Genomic DNA, 18,502 nt, shown 5'->3' with positions numbered 1-18,502 from the left:
GTTTTTTTTGTTTTCGTATGTGATTTGTAGATAAAGAGAAACTGGAACATGTGGTCAGCCAGTTCTACTAGCCAGATGATCTTACAGTCAGAAGCCTGCCTATTTCATTTTTAATACTTCCACATATAGGTCAATTTACCTTTTAAAAGTAATTCTGTACTTTAGTTTTAACAAAATTGTATGTTTGCAGGGAAAATTGGAATTATATTTATCATGAGATAACTCTCTACTATTAGGGTGAATTATTAAAATTTAGTGTTTCTTCCTTTAATTTAATTGAAGTATAACTTACATATGATAAACTGTATATATTATTTTTATTTGTGAAAATTTATGGAATATAAGTATAATTTTGTTAAATGCATAGATTGCATAGTGGTGTAGTAAGGGCTTTTATGGTACAACTGCATATGTTGGACAATTTGATGATCTTTCATAAAGGTTTTCATCTGTGAAATCATCTTGTACTCAAGATACTGGATATTTGTATTCCTGCAAAATATTAGGCTTGTCCCATTTGTAATCCATTCCTCCTCCACCACTGTCCCCATACATGCTTTCTTTCACTATAGGTTAGTTTGTATTTTCTAGAATTCTATATAAATGAATCATAGAGTGTGTAGTCCTTTTTTCATGGGCTTTTTCTTTCAGCCTAATAAACTGGTATTCATCCATGTTGGGGCATGTATTAGTCATTAGTTCCTTTTAGTTGCTGAGTAGTATTCCATTATTAATATTTTCAAGCATTAATGTTATATCTGTAGTAAGGATTCAAATATTCAAGACAGTTTTATTTATTTACATGATATATACATTTTCCTCAAAAAATTAAGCTGAGCTATATTGCCAAGGATATGCACTGACCGTTTTTCTTCATAAACTATGTTCTTAAGTCTCCTTTTTATAGTTAGAAAAAAATTGATTAATTTGTCTGTGGCATAAATAAATAAAATTAAGATGTCACTTTATACAATATAACTGAAAATAAATAATGCTCAATAGCTTTTGCCATCTCAGTCCCTTTCCCCATCTAGCCTTGGTAAGAAGAGAATGTGGTAAAATTACCATTTAGTTACAGAGTTTAAAACACTAATAATTGTGGAATTTATGAAATTCTTCTTCCTGGTATTTTCTCAGTGATGTGAAAGAGACTAATATTAGACACAACAGAAGTAGGAGGGAGTGTTTTTCATGATTAAGACAACTGTTTCTGAAAACACCCTTCCCTTTTATTTTGCAAGGAGAGAAAGAAAGCCCTTTGTAATAGGATGACCAGTGTATGTAGAAAACATAGTTCTGTTTTCTAAACTTCATGAGCTGGCAGGTTTTGTGCTGGGGAATGACAGAGAACCTTTAATTTGTGGAGAAATAGGAAAAAATAGTGACTAAAGAACGTAGCACACTAAGAACCATTTTTGCCTTGTTAATTTTGTGTACCCAGTGCTAGCATGCGCTGGACACATAGTAGGTTTTCAATAAATATTTATCCTATAAAAGCATTAGGTCTAATAAGTGTTGACTCAAACCATGAAAATTCTTCAAACCCCAACCAGAAATTGTATATATCATTAAAGGATAGGAAAAATATTTAAATCTGGTAGTGAAAAATTTGGTAAAAAAGTAGTAATGTGGTATCTGGTTTTCTGTTTAGGATAATGGCCTCCAGCTGCATCTGTGTTGTTGTAAAGGACATAATTTTATTCTTTTTTATAAGTAGAAGCTAAACTGGATACACATGGGCATAAAGATGGGAATAATAGACATTGGGGACTATGGGACTAATATAAGGATGAGCGAGCGGCAGGACAAGGGTTGAAAAACTACCTATTGAGTACTGTGCTCACTACCTGGGTGACGCTGACTGCCTGGGTGACAGGTTCAATCATACCCTAAACCTTAGCATTATGCAATATACCCTTATAACAAACCTACACAAGTACTCTCTGAATCTAAAATGAAAACTAAAAAAGGATATTAATGTGTAAGGTGGCTTGTCAAGATGAAGAGAGAATGACATCATGGAGAATATTAAGATTAGTGCAGTAACCAAGGCTGTAGTCCACCGGGGCCTAGGGAAGAATGATCATAAGAGGTACCAAAACAAGATGGTAATTTGGCAACTGATTCATGATTAGTAGGTAAAAGGGTGTGAGTGTTAAAGATGACAGAAGCAAAAGGGTAGGAGAGTAAAAGTTTTGAGTCTGGCTGATTAGGGAAGTTAGGATAGCAACTGTGGATGTGGGCAGCTGAAAGTAGAAATTAATTTAGAAATAGGTGTGGAGAGGTATATGAAGTTTGGAGCTTTGCCTTAACTTATACTTTAGTTGCTTAAAATATACAATAGGCTATATTCTAATATAGGAAGTACTGATAGAAACAGGAGTTCAGATAACTGTTATTTTCCTAAGAAAAATAAAATTGGAGAACATATTTTGGTTTCTGAAAAAGCTTTGAAAAGTTTTGCTTCTAGTGAGAAACAAAAGTCATAGATCAAAAGCAAAAGACCACCTTTTTAAAGTAGAACTTTCTTTTGTTATAAGAATTATATATCCAGCAAGGGCTTCATATAAACTATTTTTCAACAATTTTACATATCAAACCAAATGAAATTTTTGAAGGGAAAAAATTTATATTGCACAAGGGAATAGAATGAGATAGTTCAGGACTTTAAAATTTTACTACAATGTATGAATTCTTAGTAATATAAAGCAAGATAGCAATAAAAGATAAGCTCAGAATCATATATTTTCTTTAAAAATGATCACCTCTCTCTTTCAAATCACACTGTAATATCTCAAAAGCAGTATTTCTTATTACTGACACTACTTCCTAAAAGGCTGAAAGTTACTGACTTTATGGCTGATGAATTCAAATAACAAGCCATTCTTGCATCAATTTTCTGACTTCAAAAGTAAATGACTGTGGAATAATATTCTAATCTTACCTTATCTTTTAAAGTGACTTACTTTTCTTATTAGCAAAGAATTGAATGTAATCACAGTAGCTAGAAACTTAGACATTTTCAACCACTTGACTCAGTGGAAAAGAGGAATACCACCAGCTTATTCTTACAGACTATTGTGATTGTGATTTCATGACTAAGCTGCCATCGTAAGGCTGAATTTCAGAAATGTGAGATCATATACATGATAATTTTAAAAATTACAAAACGAACAGAAATGGAAAACTGTATCTCATCCAAAATGTTTGTACCTAATTTTATTACAGTTGCTTCATATAAAACATACATTTTTAGGAGGGATTGTGAATATACTTTTCATTCCAAAGTTGCAATTCATAAATAGGAATTACTAACAAAAAATAGAGAAGCAAATTTGTTTGATAATATAAATCACAAAAATATTGCCAAGAAAAGAATTTCAAGTACCATCCTTCTGTTTATTATGAAATTTCATACACAAACAGAAAAGCACAATAATGTAATGGACATCCATACATCATCACCTACTTTTAACAAGTGGGACCATTTGAAGAATTTGGTTTGCATCTGATTTTGTGTAATTAAAACACAAACTTTTCAGGAAAGAGTCCCTTTTGTAACCTCCTTGATCAAATTATCTCGTTTTTTATTCCCAAATTAACCATTTACCTGGAGTCCAGCTACGTTTGCTAACAGTGTACAGATAGATCACTTAAACAATGCATGTTATATATGATATGTAATAACATAATATATATTGTATTATGTAGTTTAGCATTGCTTGAAGTGTTTTTAAACTTAAAATGGATTATATTATGTATATTATGTCTTTACTTCAAAGCTACACTTCTAAATTCCCAAATGTACCTGTGTTAATGCATGCACATCTGGTTCATTCATTTTAACTGCTGTATAATATTTTATTGCATGGCAATAACAGAGGTTGTTTACATATTCCTATAAAAAATGTAAATAATTTGTAGGTCATTTTCAAATTATTGCTATTAAGACCAATACTGCCTTGACCATTTCTGTCCACATCTCCTTAGCCACATGTGGGAATTTGTTTAAAGTATGAATCTGAAAGTAGAACTGATGGATGGCATGAAGGATATGCACATCTTCGTATTAACTTGCTCACCAAAGGGACTGTACAAATTGACATGCTCCCCAATATCCAGGCAAATTCAGCCCCCAACATTTCACTTGGGTCCTTTTCTATTTTCCCTAAGTGTCAGCCAGTCTAAGAAATAAAGGGAAAAGGTACAAAAGAGAAAAATTTTAAACCTGGGTGTCCGGGGGAGACATCACATGTTGGCAGGTTCTGTGATGCCCCCCAAGCCGTAAAACCAAGTTTTTATTAGTGATTTTCAAAAGGGGAGGGAGTGTACGAATAGGGTGTGGGTCACAGAGATCACATGCTTCACAAGGTAATAAGATATTACAAGGTAAATGAAGGCAGGGCGAGATCACAGGACCGGGGCAAAATTAAAATTGCTAATGAAGTTTCGGACACACATTGTCATTGATAACATCTTATCAGGAGAGAGCGTTTGAGAGCAGACAACCGTTCTGACCAAAATTTATTAGGTGGGAATTTCCTCATCCTAATAAGCCTGGGAGCACTATGGGAGACCGGGACTTATTTCATCCCTTATGTACGACGGTAAAAGACAGACGTCCCCAGAGCAGCCACTTTAGAGGCCTACCCCTAGGCATGCATTCTCTTTCTCAGGGCTGTTCCTTACTGAGAAAAAGAATTCAGCAATATTTCTCCTATTTGCTTTTGAAAGGAGAGAAATATGGCTCTGTTCCGCCTGGCCCACAGGCAGCCAGACTTTAAGGTTATCTCCCTTGTTCCTTGAACATTGCTGTTATCCTGTTCTTTTTTCAAGGTGCCCAGATTTCATATTGTTTAAACAATTTGTGCAGTTAACGCAATCATCACAGCGTCCTGAGGCGACATTCTTCCTGAGCTTATGAAGATGATGGGATTAAGAGATTAAAGTAAAGCAGGCATAGGAAATCACAAGGGTATTGATTGGGGAGGTGATAAGTGTCCATGAAATCTTCACAATTTATGTTCAGAGATTGCAGTAAAGACAGGTGTAAGAAATTATAAAAGTATTAATTTGGGGAACTAATAAATGTCCATGAAATCTTCACAATTTATGTTCTTCTGCCATGGCTTCAGCCAGTCCCTCTGTTCAGGGTCCCTGACTTCCCGTAACACCCCAACAATGAATGAGCGTTGACTTTCTCAACATCTTTGTCTATATACTTACCTTTAAGAAGTAAATTTAAAAACATAAAGCTTGCATCTATTGTAATTTTAGCATAAAACATATTACCTAAAATGCCATGCTGAATTTTGTATTGGTAACGAAAAAGCTTTAGGAACAATGAATCCCTCAAAAAAAAAAAAAAGTGGATCTTCTTGCACTAATTAAACATATTTAGCTACAGCAAAATTCAGTGCAGATAGGACCAGGCTCTTCATCTCCCACTCCTTATGAGCCCAGAAATCAACAAGTACTCAAGAGAAGAAATAAGTCAGAAGATTGATAATAGACTGGAGCCAGACATTCTTGCCTCACATCCCAGCTCTACCTCTCATTAGCTACATCATCCTGCAAAAACTCTTAATCTTATTCCCACCTCTTTGAACTTTAGATTCTCCTTTGAAAAAATGGTGATTATAATAATTGCAGCCCTATAATATTGTTTTAAAGATATAAGTCAAATAACACTTATAATTCACATAGTACAAAGCTTAGCACAGATTAGGTGCTAGAAAATGTTCATTTGTCATCCTGTATGAAATTGGGCATGTCATGTTAAAGCCAATAAAATAGAATAAAATAAAAAACCTTAAATATATTATAGCCACTACATGTTTTCCTCTTTTCCTTTAGATTCAATAGTTTTTAATCTAATACTGTTATTATTTGACATTTAATGAATATTGTCTAACAGGAACCCTGAAATTCACTCTCATATATACTTTGACCTGACATGGTGTGTATATTATAAAGCACAGCTAACTTGCTGGATATCTCCATAATATAGTAGTGCTATTTATAGGTGGGGAAAAAAGTAGCACACAAACATGTTGAGCCATACTTTTTCCATGTTATACAAGAATTTTTTGTGGTCAAGGACTTTCCTTATTTATATTTATATTTCTACAGTTGGCATATAGTAAGTATGCTTATATGCTAGATGAATGAATGAATGAAGAAGCAATTATTATTTCTTCTTGTGCTAATTTTCAGGAAAATGAGTTACTCTTGGAAGAATCAAATCATCTCCATTAATGGAAGCAGTAATGTCTCTGTTTGTGAACCATTCAGTTATCACAAGTAGTAAATTATAAACCCAAACCTCAATTTGAGTTGATTTTGCTACCATACGAGTTGTAAATGCTGCATGGCTAAAAACGTGAAGAGAGGGTGGAGATTGTAGGGCAGAGGTAGATCAATCACATTAATGCTTTTCTTTAAATTCCAAATCAATAAAAAAGTTTTTTCTTATTCTGTAGGGACTAAAATGTTATATAAGAATTCTGCTTTTTAAAAGCTACCATCTTTATGGAAAGAATAAAAGATTGAAAACTTTGATTTTTTTGTATCTGGTAGATTGCTGTTATATATTAGCAGGCTGATAATAAAAGTAGTATACTCCTAAATTTGGTAAATAACTGGAGCTATAAGTCTAGATATTATTTACCACATACAAAATATAGGAAGGACATATATTGATTATCAGTATATAAATGTTATAAAGAAGCCAGATAAATTATATTACATCCATGAATTGTTTCATTGTATCAATCAGTGAAACTCAGGGATCACATAAGAGAAGGGAAGTCCCGTGAGCAAGGAATGGAAAACAAGATGAGAGCAATTTCAGGTTAAAGGCAAGAAGCTCATACCAAACCAGTCATCCCTGAGGCTCCCACAGCTTTCCCCACGCCAGTATCTGGAACAACCATTTACCCAGTTGCTAAAGTCGAAAATTTGGAATTAACTAGGACTCCTACATTTTATTTAACCCTACATATTCAAGCCATTGTCAACAAATCCTGTCAGGTCTACTAACAAAATACATCTGCCTCCACCCACTTTTCTATATGTCCACTGCCACCACTCCAGTCCAAGCCACCTTTCCATCTTGACTGAACTTGTAACTGGTCCTTTCACACTTGACCCCTTAATATAGCTGCTAGACTCATCTCCAAAGAGTTAATGTAACTTCCCATTTGAAACTTTCAGTGTCTTCCAAAAAGAACTTAAAATATAATCCAAATCTATTACTTGCATGTTCTGGCCTCCAGGAGCCCAAAATTTCATTGTTATATCATGACACTTTGTTCCATCATTCACTGTAGTCTGACTACAAGTGTACTCTGTTAAGACATGGAAAACTCTTTTCCCAGCTCAGGGACATTGCACATGTTTCTTCTCGTTTTTGGAATGCTGTTCATATGGCCGGTTTATTCTCATTCTTCAGAAATAAACTTAGATATCAGATCTTTTTTCTTTAACCTTTGCATACAAAACAGGTCAACCTATATGTCATAGCAACCAGGTTATTTTCCTTATAATAGTAATCACAAGGAGTAAATACTTTATTTATTCATTATATACTTTTTTATCTTATGTTTCCAACACTTGGGCATAGTGGTGATCATTGTCACAAGCACCTGGGACTGTGCGTGGCATATAATAAGCACCTAATACCTATATGTACAAATAATAAATGGATAAATGAAGTAATAAATGCTTACCTACATGCCTGTCTAGAGATTCTTAAAGAGGGTAATGGGTGAATTTGGAATTTCAAAAAGGCTTTTAAATGTTATTTCATTAATTCATTCATTCTGAAGATATATCATCATTGAAACAGGTTAAATTCTTCGATAAATAAGTGTAGCAAATATAAGTACCATAAATATATTTTATTAGCTTTGACTCATATATATGGTTGTTATGATAGATAGGTTGACCTATTTTGTATTTTAATAAGGAAAATCAATAGTTATGCAATATGGTTCATGAAAACAAAATGCTATATTTATTTTTGCATAAGCATTTATATTTTCAAATTCCATAAATTTATACACGATGAAGTATTGTTGACTTCTTTATCATATTTATAAATAACTAAATATGTTTCAAAATTATTCACATAATACCTTTTAAGAGAAAAAGAAATGACATAGTCTCTCATTTTAATGTCTGTGTAGACTAGCATATTTTCTTTTCTCAAATAATAAAACACAACTAAGACCATAGAAATTAAAAGGTTTTCCTGTTAAGATTAACTGACATTTGTCTCAGAACAAAAGATAGTTTCTGGCATTCAATTCTTTATAATATTATTAGGGAAAGGCTTGCAATATTCCAGATGGGTTCAGTGTTTATCAACATACAGTAATGTTGTCAAATAAAGAACATGTAAATTTTGAGCTTTGAAGTCAGCACCTTGAACTTGTGAAAGTACAAATGAATTATTTAAGAAGCATGAAAGTAGTGTTATGTTACATAAGGAAGGAAGATAGAAGAAGTCAGCTTGTGGTTATACAGACTATATTACTTTTAATTTTTGGCCTTCTATATTTTAAATGTATTGACTTTTTTTAGGACAATATGTCTTAAGTAGAGACCAACTTTTCACTGGAATAGTTTGTTATTCTTTTTATTTAATATAGATATTCTGGCTAGTTGTATTAACCTGGTAATATAACCTGAAACTCCCCAAAATGCTTCCTAAGAGGAAGTATACCATACCAATTGGGTTACAAATATGAAATAGTATATTCAAATTGGGATAATTTAGGAAGAGTTTATAAAAGGGGCAGGTTACGAAGGTGTGAGCAAGTTGTAGGGGAACCACAGGGCTTATTCCAAGCTAGAAACAGAAAACTACAAAAAAAAAATAAATAAAAACAACCCCCCAACACAACTGTTACCATCTTCGGACTTAGGAGAAGGGAGTAAGCAGTTAGGCAAAAAACCAAAAGAAGAGTGAGAGAGAGAAGCTGCCTCGAAAGAAGCCGTCACCGGCCACCCAGGGACACGACCAGCCAGAAATAACACGCAGGAGGTGAGCCAGGGAAATTGATACTGGGACCTTGCTCTCCTTGCTTCTCTCCAATACGGCTGCAGAATAGGCCGGGGTTGAGCATGTGACCTGGTTTTAGCTGATGTAGGGGGCTACTTTATTCTCTATTTACTTTAAAAATGGGTTCACATAAAAAAAGGAAAAAGTATTAATCGTTAACACATTAATATAATACTGTATTACTGTAGTGTATGTAACACAATAGATTTCAAAGCTATTTTATTTTTATCTTATGTGTATCCTCACAAAATCGCTGACAGCTTAAGAACATGGGTCCTGGAGTAAGACACACTGAGTTCAAATCTCAGAGTCCTTCCTTATCAGCTACATATCTTTGAACAAGTTCCTAATTTATTTACCACTATTTCTTCATCTGTCATAAGAGGATGGTAATATCTCCTCCTGCAGTGTTGTGAGAATTCAATGAATCAATACGTGTAAAGCGCTGAGAATAGTTCCTGGCATGTGGTAAGTGCTTAGTAAATGCAGCTCTTCTTACTTTCATTTCATAGGAACAGAAAAGAAGTTCAATGAAATAAAGGAATTTAAGGGTATGCCGTTTTCAAACAAGGGCGAGAGGTAGCACTTACCAAAGTTTCTGGACTTACAATCCAAGGTTTTGTATATTCTACATAAGTACATAATCATAATCAATTGCTTTGTTTTTTTAAGGTTTTCCAAACATACACTTTTTCTTGGCTTTACTCACTATCATGTCTGATTATTGCTTATCCTTGTTCTTTCCCCTCTTTTCACAGGGAAGTGAGAAAAAAAAAAACAGTAATTGTGTGTTCCATGGTGATGTGCTATTAATTTAGTCTAAGATTAGTGACTGTATTAACAATAAACCTACTCAGAGGTAGCATTTCCACACATGTATATATGACCACAGTGGACTTCTGTTAATTACTGAAATGATCTAATCTATTATGTAATTTTAAAAGACGGTTTTACAACCTTAAATCTTCCATAGCTGAAAAATTTTAAACGTTGCCTTCTGGATTGACTTAGGGCATTGTGGTCAGTACCACAAATGCTGCCTGATATACAGTAGATGCTGAATAAATATTTGCTGAAGTAATTAATTAATTAAAGTGTTCCACCCAACATATTGCTTTTATTAGTATACAAGAAAGTAAAACTGCACAGAATACGAAAAAATCAGAAAAAATGTGAATATCTAGATTTAGAGGGAAATACAAAGGATCAATAAATCACAATGTGTAGGTTTCTTTAGTTAGAAAGACCTTAAATCTATGTGGTATCTCAACATAAGCGAAAACAACAATACCGTACAGAATTTTCTCAGGCTGATATAGAGATAGTCTGCTTAATTGTGAGTATATTTCCCTAACTGTTGTGAGAGAGAAATTTTGATGGTGCAATATGAATTTTTAATCCGAATTGTAGCAGTTAAGAGTTTTACTCCACTGAGTGGCTGAATCTTACTCCTCCCAAAGGGTAAGATTCTTTTTCATCTTGCAAAGCAAAGTTGTTGAAAACCAAAGCAAACCCCTTAACCTAGGGATGATCAAAACAGACTAGTTCTAACTGAAAAAAATTAACCAAGGAAACAAACCTAAAGTTACCTTTCATTTAAATTCAGTCAGGAATTGTTTACATGAAAATCACAAAGATGGAGCTTTTGTCCATTTACCGCAAATAGATGAGTAAAAAATTGTAATCTATAAAAATGTCCTGGCTGGGCACGGTGGCTGACGCCTGTAATCCCAGCACTTTAGGAGGCCGAGGCAGGTGGATCACGAGGTCAGGAGATCGAGACCATCCTGGCCAACATGGTGAAACTCCGTCTCTACTAAAAATACAAAAATACAAAAATTAGCTGGGTGTGGTGGCGTGTGCCAGCTACTCAGGAGGCTGAGGTAGGAGAATCCCCTGAACCAGGGAGTCAGAGGGTGCAGTGAGCCGAGATCACGCCATAGCACTCCAGCCTGGCAACAGAGTGAGACTCCCATCTCAAAAAAAAAAAAGTCTTTATGATTTTTCCTGTCATAATATTTTAAACATTTTGCTAATGATGTCTGTAGGGTAGTATTTGGAAGAAATAAAATAGAATATTATAGAACTCGAGGCTCATCTACTGCTTTAATCTCTTTGAAACCTCTTTATTCCAATTTTTTTTAAAAGTCTTTAAAAATGTATCTAAGTAAAATCAACATCGTACTGTAGAAGTTCTAAATGAATATGATTATGATAATAGCTTCTTACACAAAATTTAAGAGATATTCATTTGCCTTTTGAATCATTATAGGGTGAATATATCTACATCTTTCATTTTCCGTGATTGCATTCTGTATATCAAGTAGAGCAGGTCTAGTTACTAAGTTATTGATAATGTGTTTTGTTAACATGCAATTCTCCTATTCCTTTGGATTCAGCAGAGTCTTTTGGAACTTAAACATCTTGACTCTTCTGTTTAAAGCCTAAATCAACCTGAGAGAAGGTATGTTTTTAGAATGGAAAAGTTGCTTACAATAGTTTTAAAAGGCCTAGACACCTCAAGTTTAAGTCTTCAATTTGTGCTTCACTAATCTCTTCAAGTTATTGCCAAAAAATAATTTTCTAAATTTTAAGAAATCAGTAAGTTTTAAAAATGTACTTTTAAAAGTAAATTCCAAACATATTCTAAAATAAATCACACATTATTTAAATAGGACTTTTTTATTTTAGAAATTGTTCCCTTTGATTTTGCTGAGGGCGAATAATTACAGTTACTATGGTAATTAATATTCATTTAAATTCAAGTCTCCAGAGTTGCATAGAAATAAATTATGTTTTTATATTGTAACTGTTTTGCATACTCTTTTAAAACATGACTCTAATCATGAAGATTAGATTTTTTTCCTTGAAATTTTGCTAGCTGTGACATAATTCTAAGGAACTGTGTTACATAAAGAATACTTGTCTGCCTTATTTTTATCTATACCTCAAATTTGCCCTGCTTTCTTGATGTCTCCTGAAATACTTATAACAGAATGAGGAGAAAATTACTGTTTATGTCAAATGTAAAAAAAAAAAAAAACTAAAACTCCAAAAAATTGGTTTGGGTAACACTAACAGGTTCTACCATATTAGCATAAAATCCCCTTAAAAAATAATTGCTAAAATTAGACTCCCTTCTGGCTTTCTCTGTGTCCTCGTAATTTTTCTCAAAAATTTCCCACTAATTCAGAACTCTTTTTTTCATGGTAAAATATAAACAACATAAATGTACCGTTTAAATTATTTTTAAGCATACACTTCAGTAACATTAAGGACATTTATACTACTATGTAGCCATCACTGTTATCTATCTCCAGAACATTTTCCATCTTCCCAAACTGATACTTCATACCCATTAAACAGGAGCTCCCCATTTTGTCCTCTCCCAGCCGTTGCAAACCACTATTCTACTTTCTGTCTTTATGAATTTGACTATTCTAGGTACATCATATAAGTGGAATTATACATCCTTTCTCCTTTCGTGACTGACTTAGTTCACTTAGCCTCCTGTCCTTAAGGATAATCTATGTTATAGCATGTGTAAGAATTTCCTTCTGTTTTAAGGATGTATATTTTTCAATTGTATGTGTATACCACCTTTGTTTATCCATTCATCTTTTAATGGACATTTGGGTTGCTTCCTTCTTTTGGCTACTGTTAATATTGGTGTTACAAACACTGGTACACAAATAACCATTCAAGTCCCTGCTTTCAATTATTTTGGGTATATATCTAGAAGTGGAATTACTAGATAATATGGTAATTATATTTTTAATGTTTTGAAGAGTTGCCATACTGTTTTCCATTTCTAATTCAGAGGTTCTTTTTTAAACAGTAAAATACATAAAATTCAAAAATGAAAAAGCAAATTAGCATGCCACTGTGGATTGCAACATTGATTTGCTAAAAGAGACTTGAGGTTAATTATTAACCTACCCAATTCTTTTATAATGAGATAAGTAAACCAGGGGGAATTTGTGAGATGTCTAACCCTGGTACTCAAATTTGCAGGCCAGTGGTTGCCCCATAAGCCTGCATTTCAAATGGGTGCTTAAAACTTAGTTAGGATTTTAGAAAAAAAAATTAATACATAAACTTATATAACTGTAGAAATAATTTACTTTAGTTTTTGTAGCATCTGAGATTTATATATATATATATATATATATATATATATATATATATATATATATATATATATATATATATATATTGCAGGGGCAATGTGGCATAATTATGGCTTTTGATGTTTTCTATTAAAATCTCTTACATGTGGTGTTTAAGAACTGTTGTTGTGTGTAGAGAGTTCTTAACCTTATTAACACCTCCACATTATCTCTTATACTAAGTAAATTACACTTCTAGAAAAAGCAAAACCTGCAAAGTATAACAATAATAAATTACTCTTAAATTCTATAAATAATTAAATTACTTCCATTTCAAACAGATTTTGTTCCTTTTTGTCAGGAGCATTGCAGTAATCTTAATAAACTTAATACACTTAATAAACTTCCTAACTAGTTTATTAACTAGTAAATAAATTTACTAACTAGGACCATAAACACTTTCACAGATTGGACCATCTGATTAAAAGAAAAATAAAATTGACACCTTGACTCAGTAGTTTGCATACTTCAATAGACTTTCCTTCAAGTTAATTAATGTGTAAATGCTCAACTATGGATTCAATTAACCCACAGGGTACTTATTGCTGTATTTTTTCAAAAAATAGCATGAAACAAAGTATACCTAAATGACATTAACACAATATATTAAGGTTCCAACATTAAATTAAACAACCTGAAATAATAACAATTACACTTTCTCTCAGTAGCCCATAAACATATACATATAACATTCTTAAATTACTATTTGTCCTAACGTATAAAGAGGCTAAATTTATAAATAAATAATAAATGTAAAATAATTAGATATTATGAAAACCTTAACTTTCTCATTTTCTAAATTTTAATTCTAAATATCGCATGTGAGGTGTTTTATCTTTAATAATAAAGATTGAGCTATAATGTATTGTGATTTTTATCACAGAACCATAATGTAAAATAATTCACATGTGCGCATGCTCATAAATAAGCTGATTGGCAATACTGAATATCAAAATTATATATATTAATCTCTATTAAACTCAATCATTAGTTATTTAGGGCCATTGACTTCTGTGAAAATGAGAAACAGATGTAAATCTCCAAGTTACTCACTCTCATTCCACATTGAAGTATTTTATTGTGTCATAATGAAGTGGTTTGTGTACTTAGCTGTTTTTCTCCTTTACCAAAATATACATTTCATGAAGGCAAAGATGATGTCAAACTTATTTAGTACTTTTTCTTCAGTGGCTCACATAACCTGAGCATCTTAGATCTTCATGAAATATTTTCTGAATGAATAAAAACAGGTTTTTAGGTAAACTTTCTGATTTCCTTTAGGTCCACTGCCTCATTTCTTTTAGATATAGTGTAATGACTTAAAAATCTGTTAGTGGGTATACTCAAGCTGCTATGGTTTTAATGTTTATTGCCTTCAAAACTCATGTTGAAATTTAATCCCCAAAGTGGCAGTATTGAGAAGTAGGGCCTTTAAAAAGTGATTGGGTCATGAGAGCTCTTTCCTCATGAAGGGATTAATCCATTCACAGATTAATGAATTAATTAATTAATGGGTTGATGGATTAATGGGTTTTCATGGGACTGGGGCTTTATAAAAAGATAGATGCCAGCTAGCATGCTCAACTTCTTGCCACATGGCACCCTGCACTACCTTGATACTCTGCAGAGTCCCACCAGCAGGAATGCCCTCATGAACTGTGGCCCCTTGACCTTCTACTTTTCAACCTCCATAACTGTAAGAAATAAATTCTTTTTAAATTGCCCAGTTTCAGGTATTATGTTATAAGCAACAGAAAACAGACTAAGACGCAAGCCGAACTGTATGATTCATATTAAATTTCTGTTGCTATTCATGGCAACTGTTCCTGAACCTGGCATCCTGCACAGCACTGAAATTTACATCTGTGTGTTAAAAAGACTTGATCACTTGATCATTTTTGCAAAAGACTCAAGCTGTTAGATCAAGATTACTTTGGGGATGCTATTAGAGCCTAGCAGGTGAAATAAACAAAGCTATTTATTAACACGGTTTCTTACTGATAGTTACAGCAACTCTAGGTGTACACATTAATGAGGCCGGCTGCCTAGATTGTGCTATAAATGATGCATGCCTATGAAATTTTTGTGTTGTTTACACTAAAAAGAATGAGCCTCCTAGTAGATGTAGAAAACAAAGCGATCCTTGATCTCCATTGGATGGAAGACTCAGCAAGGTGCATAACAATCACAGTATTGGGAAAACAACTCAAAAGGGCACATCCAATTGATGGAATTGAGCTGAGTAATGTCTCCTACAGAGATACTTCACTGAGCTAATAGAGCCAACATAAGCATAGGTAAAAGCACTTTAGGGTCGACAGTAGCTGAGTAGTCATAGAATGCATGAGGGGAGATAGTAAAAGTTGACAAGCAAAATAAATGTTTTTGTTTACTTCATTATTTTTCTCCTTATACTATATAAATACTACATGAGATTATGTCCTATATAGTTGATTCCTTTGATTTCATTTAGAGTTACATACATTATCTTCTAAATGCATCTTATTTTCTCGAATTGTATTAACCAAACGTGGTTTAAGTTAAATAATGCAGAAGAAAATTCATGTGGTCATAATCTTATTAGATTCCCAGTGTGAAACAATGATATATGATTTCATCCCTTCTCCAAACCAGACACAAAATTAAAGAAAAAGAAAGGAATAAAATTTATCCTGACCACAAAATTTTAAACAATATAAAGAAATGCTGCAAAATGTCTGACAATGTTCATTGACAACATTTGAATAAATTTTAAAATTAATATTCAAATTATGTTTTCATCAAATCTGAAATAAAATACCAAATATCATTATACAGAGAATTCTGTAAAGATAGTGGAGTAGAAAGAACCAGGAATCTGTCTTCCCATCTAGGCAACAATTGCACTGGCAGAGTCTGTCTGATGTAACTAATTTGGAAATCTGAAGTCTACTGAAGAATTGCAATATTCAGTGATAGGTTTAGATGATAAATTGAAGTTGATTTCAGATCTTAGCACGGTAGCAGCTAACCATCCCTCACTCTCAGCTCTGTGGCAGGCAGCTGTGCACTTGTTCCTGGTGCAGCTTGCACACAGCTTGTGGGAGCCAGGGTAGCCAAAAAAGACCTTGCCCTCCAAATATCAGGAACTGTGCTCTGATTGCTGATTGCTGCTTCTGATCACAGAGGTACAGATAAAGACACCTCCCTCGGCTAAGATGACTTTCAGATATAAAGGGGTAGTACATTTTATTCCTGTTTATTTTTTTCTTTTTCCTCCTTTGGGAGCCGTACATGAAAGGCAAGCAAAAGATTGAAAAGCACAAAAGAGAAAGACACAGAAAAAATTAGAAAGTGACCACACATGCTTAGAGAAAGGCACAAGCTTAGAAAAGCCCTGAGAAGACCTTACGTTTACACCGCATGCTGATCTTTGGCACAGAGAAGGCCTATAGCAATAAAAAAAATAAAACCCAAACCAAAAAACAGTAACAAAAGCAGGAAACCCTAAAAGGAAGAATCTTATTTTCAGATTTACCTCACTATTAGATTCAAATGTCAAGTTTTGAACAAGAAAATCATAAGATATACAAAGAAGCAAGAAAATATGACCCACACAAAGGAGCAAGGAAATATGACTCATTCAAAAGATTAAAACAACAACAAAAACTGTCCCTGAAAAAGACCTGTGGCACATCTATTAAACAAAGACTTAAACAAACAAACAAAAACTGTTAAAAGATTTTCAAAAAACTAAAAGAAAGTATAGAGAATTAAAAAAAAAAAACAATGTATGAACAAAATGGAAATATCAAGAAAGTAATTTTAAAAAATGCTAAAAATAAACCAAAAATAAATTCTGGAGCTAAAAATACAATAACTGAAATAAAAACTTAACTAAAGGGATTCAAAGGCAGATTTGAGGATGAAGAATCCATGAACTTGAAGATAGGGCAATGGAAATTATCAAGTCTGAGGGACAAAATGAAAAAAATGGTTGAGGAAATGTGAACAGAACCTAAGCAAACTGTGACACCATGAAGCAGATCAGTATATGCAATGTAGAAGTTTCAGAAGAAGAGACAGAGAAAAGAGCAGAGGGAATAATTAAAGAAATAAAGGCTGAAAACCTCCCAAATTTGATTAAAGACATGGATATAAATATCCAAGCTCAATATATCCAAATAAGATGAACTCAAAAAAAAAAAAGCCATAGCAAGGCACATTATAATTATAATCAAAATTTCAAAAGAAAGAGAAAATCTTATAAATAGCAAAAGAGAAGGAACTCATCATATTGAAGTTATTCTCAATAAGATTATGAACAGGTTACTAATCAGAAACTTTGGAGGCCAGAAGTCAGTGGGATGATACATTCAAAGTCCTAAAACAAGCTGTCATCCAAAATTTCTATATCTGACAAAAGTGTCCTTCAAAAGTAAGGGAGAAATTAAATATTCCCAGATAAACAAACCTGAGTCAATTGATTATGAGTAGACTTCCTCTGCAAGAAATGCTTAAAGGAGTTCTGCAGGGTAAAATGAAAAGACATTAGACAGTAAGTAACTTGAGGCCATATGAAAAAAAAAATCTCAATAAAAGTAAATACATGTGCAAGTATAAAAGATAGTAAGTATTATTGTACAAAGGTTTCTAACTCCACTTTTTGTTTTCTACTTGATTTAAGTACTAATACACTAAAAAATAAATTATTACTCTAAAAGATAGTACAATTGTAAGTTTGGTTTGCAACTGCAGATTTAGTTTTTTACATAACTTTAAAAACTAATGCATTACAATTATCACTTTAATTTTGGGAATATACAGTGTATAAAGATGTAATTTTGTGATATCAACAACCAAGAGGGCATGAGGCAAAGTTGTAAAGGGCAGAGATTTATATGTTATTGAAGGAAAGCTGGTATGAATTCAAATTAGAGTGTTGTAACTTCAGGATGTTAGATGTAATGCCCATAATAACCACCAAGAAAATAGTTACCAAAAACACGAAAAAGGAAATGAAGAGGAAATTTAAATATTTCACTACAAAAAACAACACAAATAAGAAAATAATGCAGGAAATTAGGGAAAACTACTATAGGGAAAATAGAAGACAAATAGAAAAGTGACAGAGGTACAGTTGACCCTTGAAAAACACGGGTTTGAACTGTTGAGGTTCACTCCTATGCAGATTGTTTTTCAAAGTTACACAAAATGTTTCTGCCTCTCCTGTCTCCTTTTCCACCTCGTCCACATCTTCTGCATCTGCCATGCCTAAGACAGCAAG

The 18,502-nt window shown here is 33.1% G+C and overlaps 1 protein-coding gene and 1 long non-coding RNA gene across 18 annotated transcripts in view; one reads left to right on the top strand and one right to left on the bottom strand.

The window, feature by feature from the left end:
• Window positions 1–18,502, bottom strand: part of EPHA6 (EPH receptor A6) — a 946,939-nt gene that overhangs the window by 385,078 nt on the left and 543,359 nt on the right. The gene's annotated exons all lie outside the window — the stretch shown is intronic.
• Window positions 1–18,502, top strand: part of LOC101929278 (uncharacterized) — a 114,015-nt gene that overhangs the window by 38,629 nt on the left and 56,884 nt on the right. For 4 of the 6 annotated variants that reach the window (XR_007095966.1, XR_924240.3, XR_924236.3 and 1 more), the window contains one exon: window positions 11,467–11,531. The exons of 1 other annotated variant lie outside the window; for it this stretch is intronic. This is a non-coding gene — a long non-coding RNA (uncharacterized LOC101929278). The remainder of the gene's footprint in view (window positions 1–11,466; window positions 11,532–18,502) is intronic. One more of the 6 variants, XR_007095967.1, reaches the window with a different exon arrangement.

This window comes from Homo sapiens, chromosome 3, assembly GCF_000001405.40.
Source record: "Homo sapiens chromosome 3, GRCh38.p14 Primary Assembly".
In the NCBI taxonomy this organism is placed as follows: domain Eukaryota; kingdom Metazoa; phylum Chordata; class Mammalia; order Primates; family Hominidae; genus Homo; species Homo sapiens.
The sequence above is the reverse complement of the archived record's forward strand: the minus strand, read 5'-3'. Positions and strand labels throughout refer to the sequence as shown.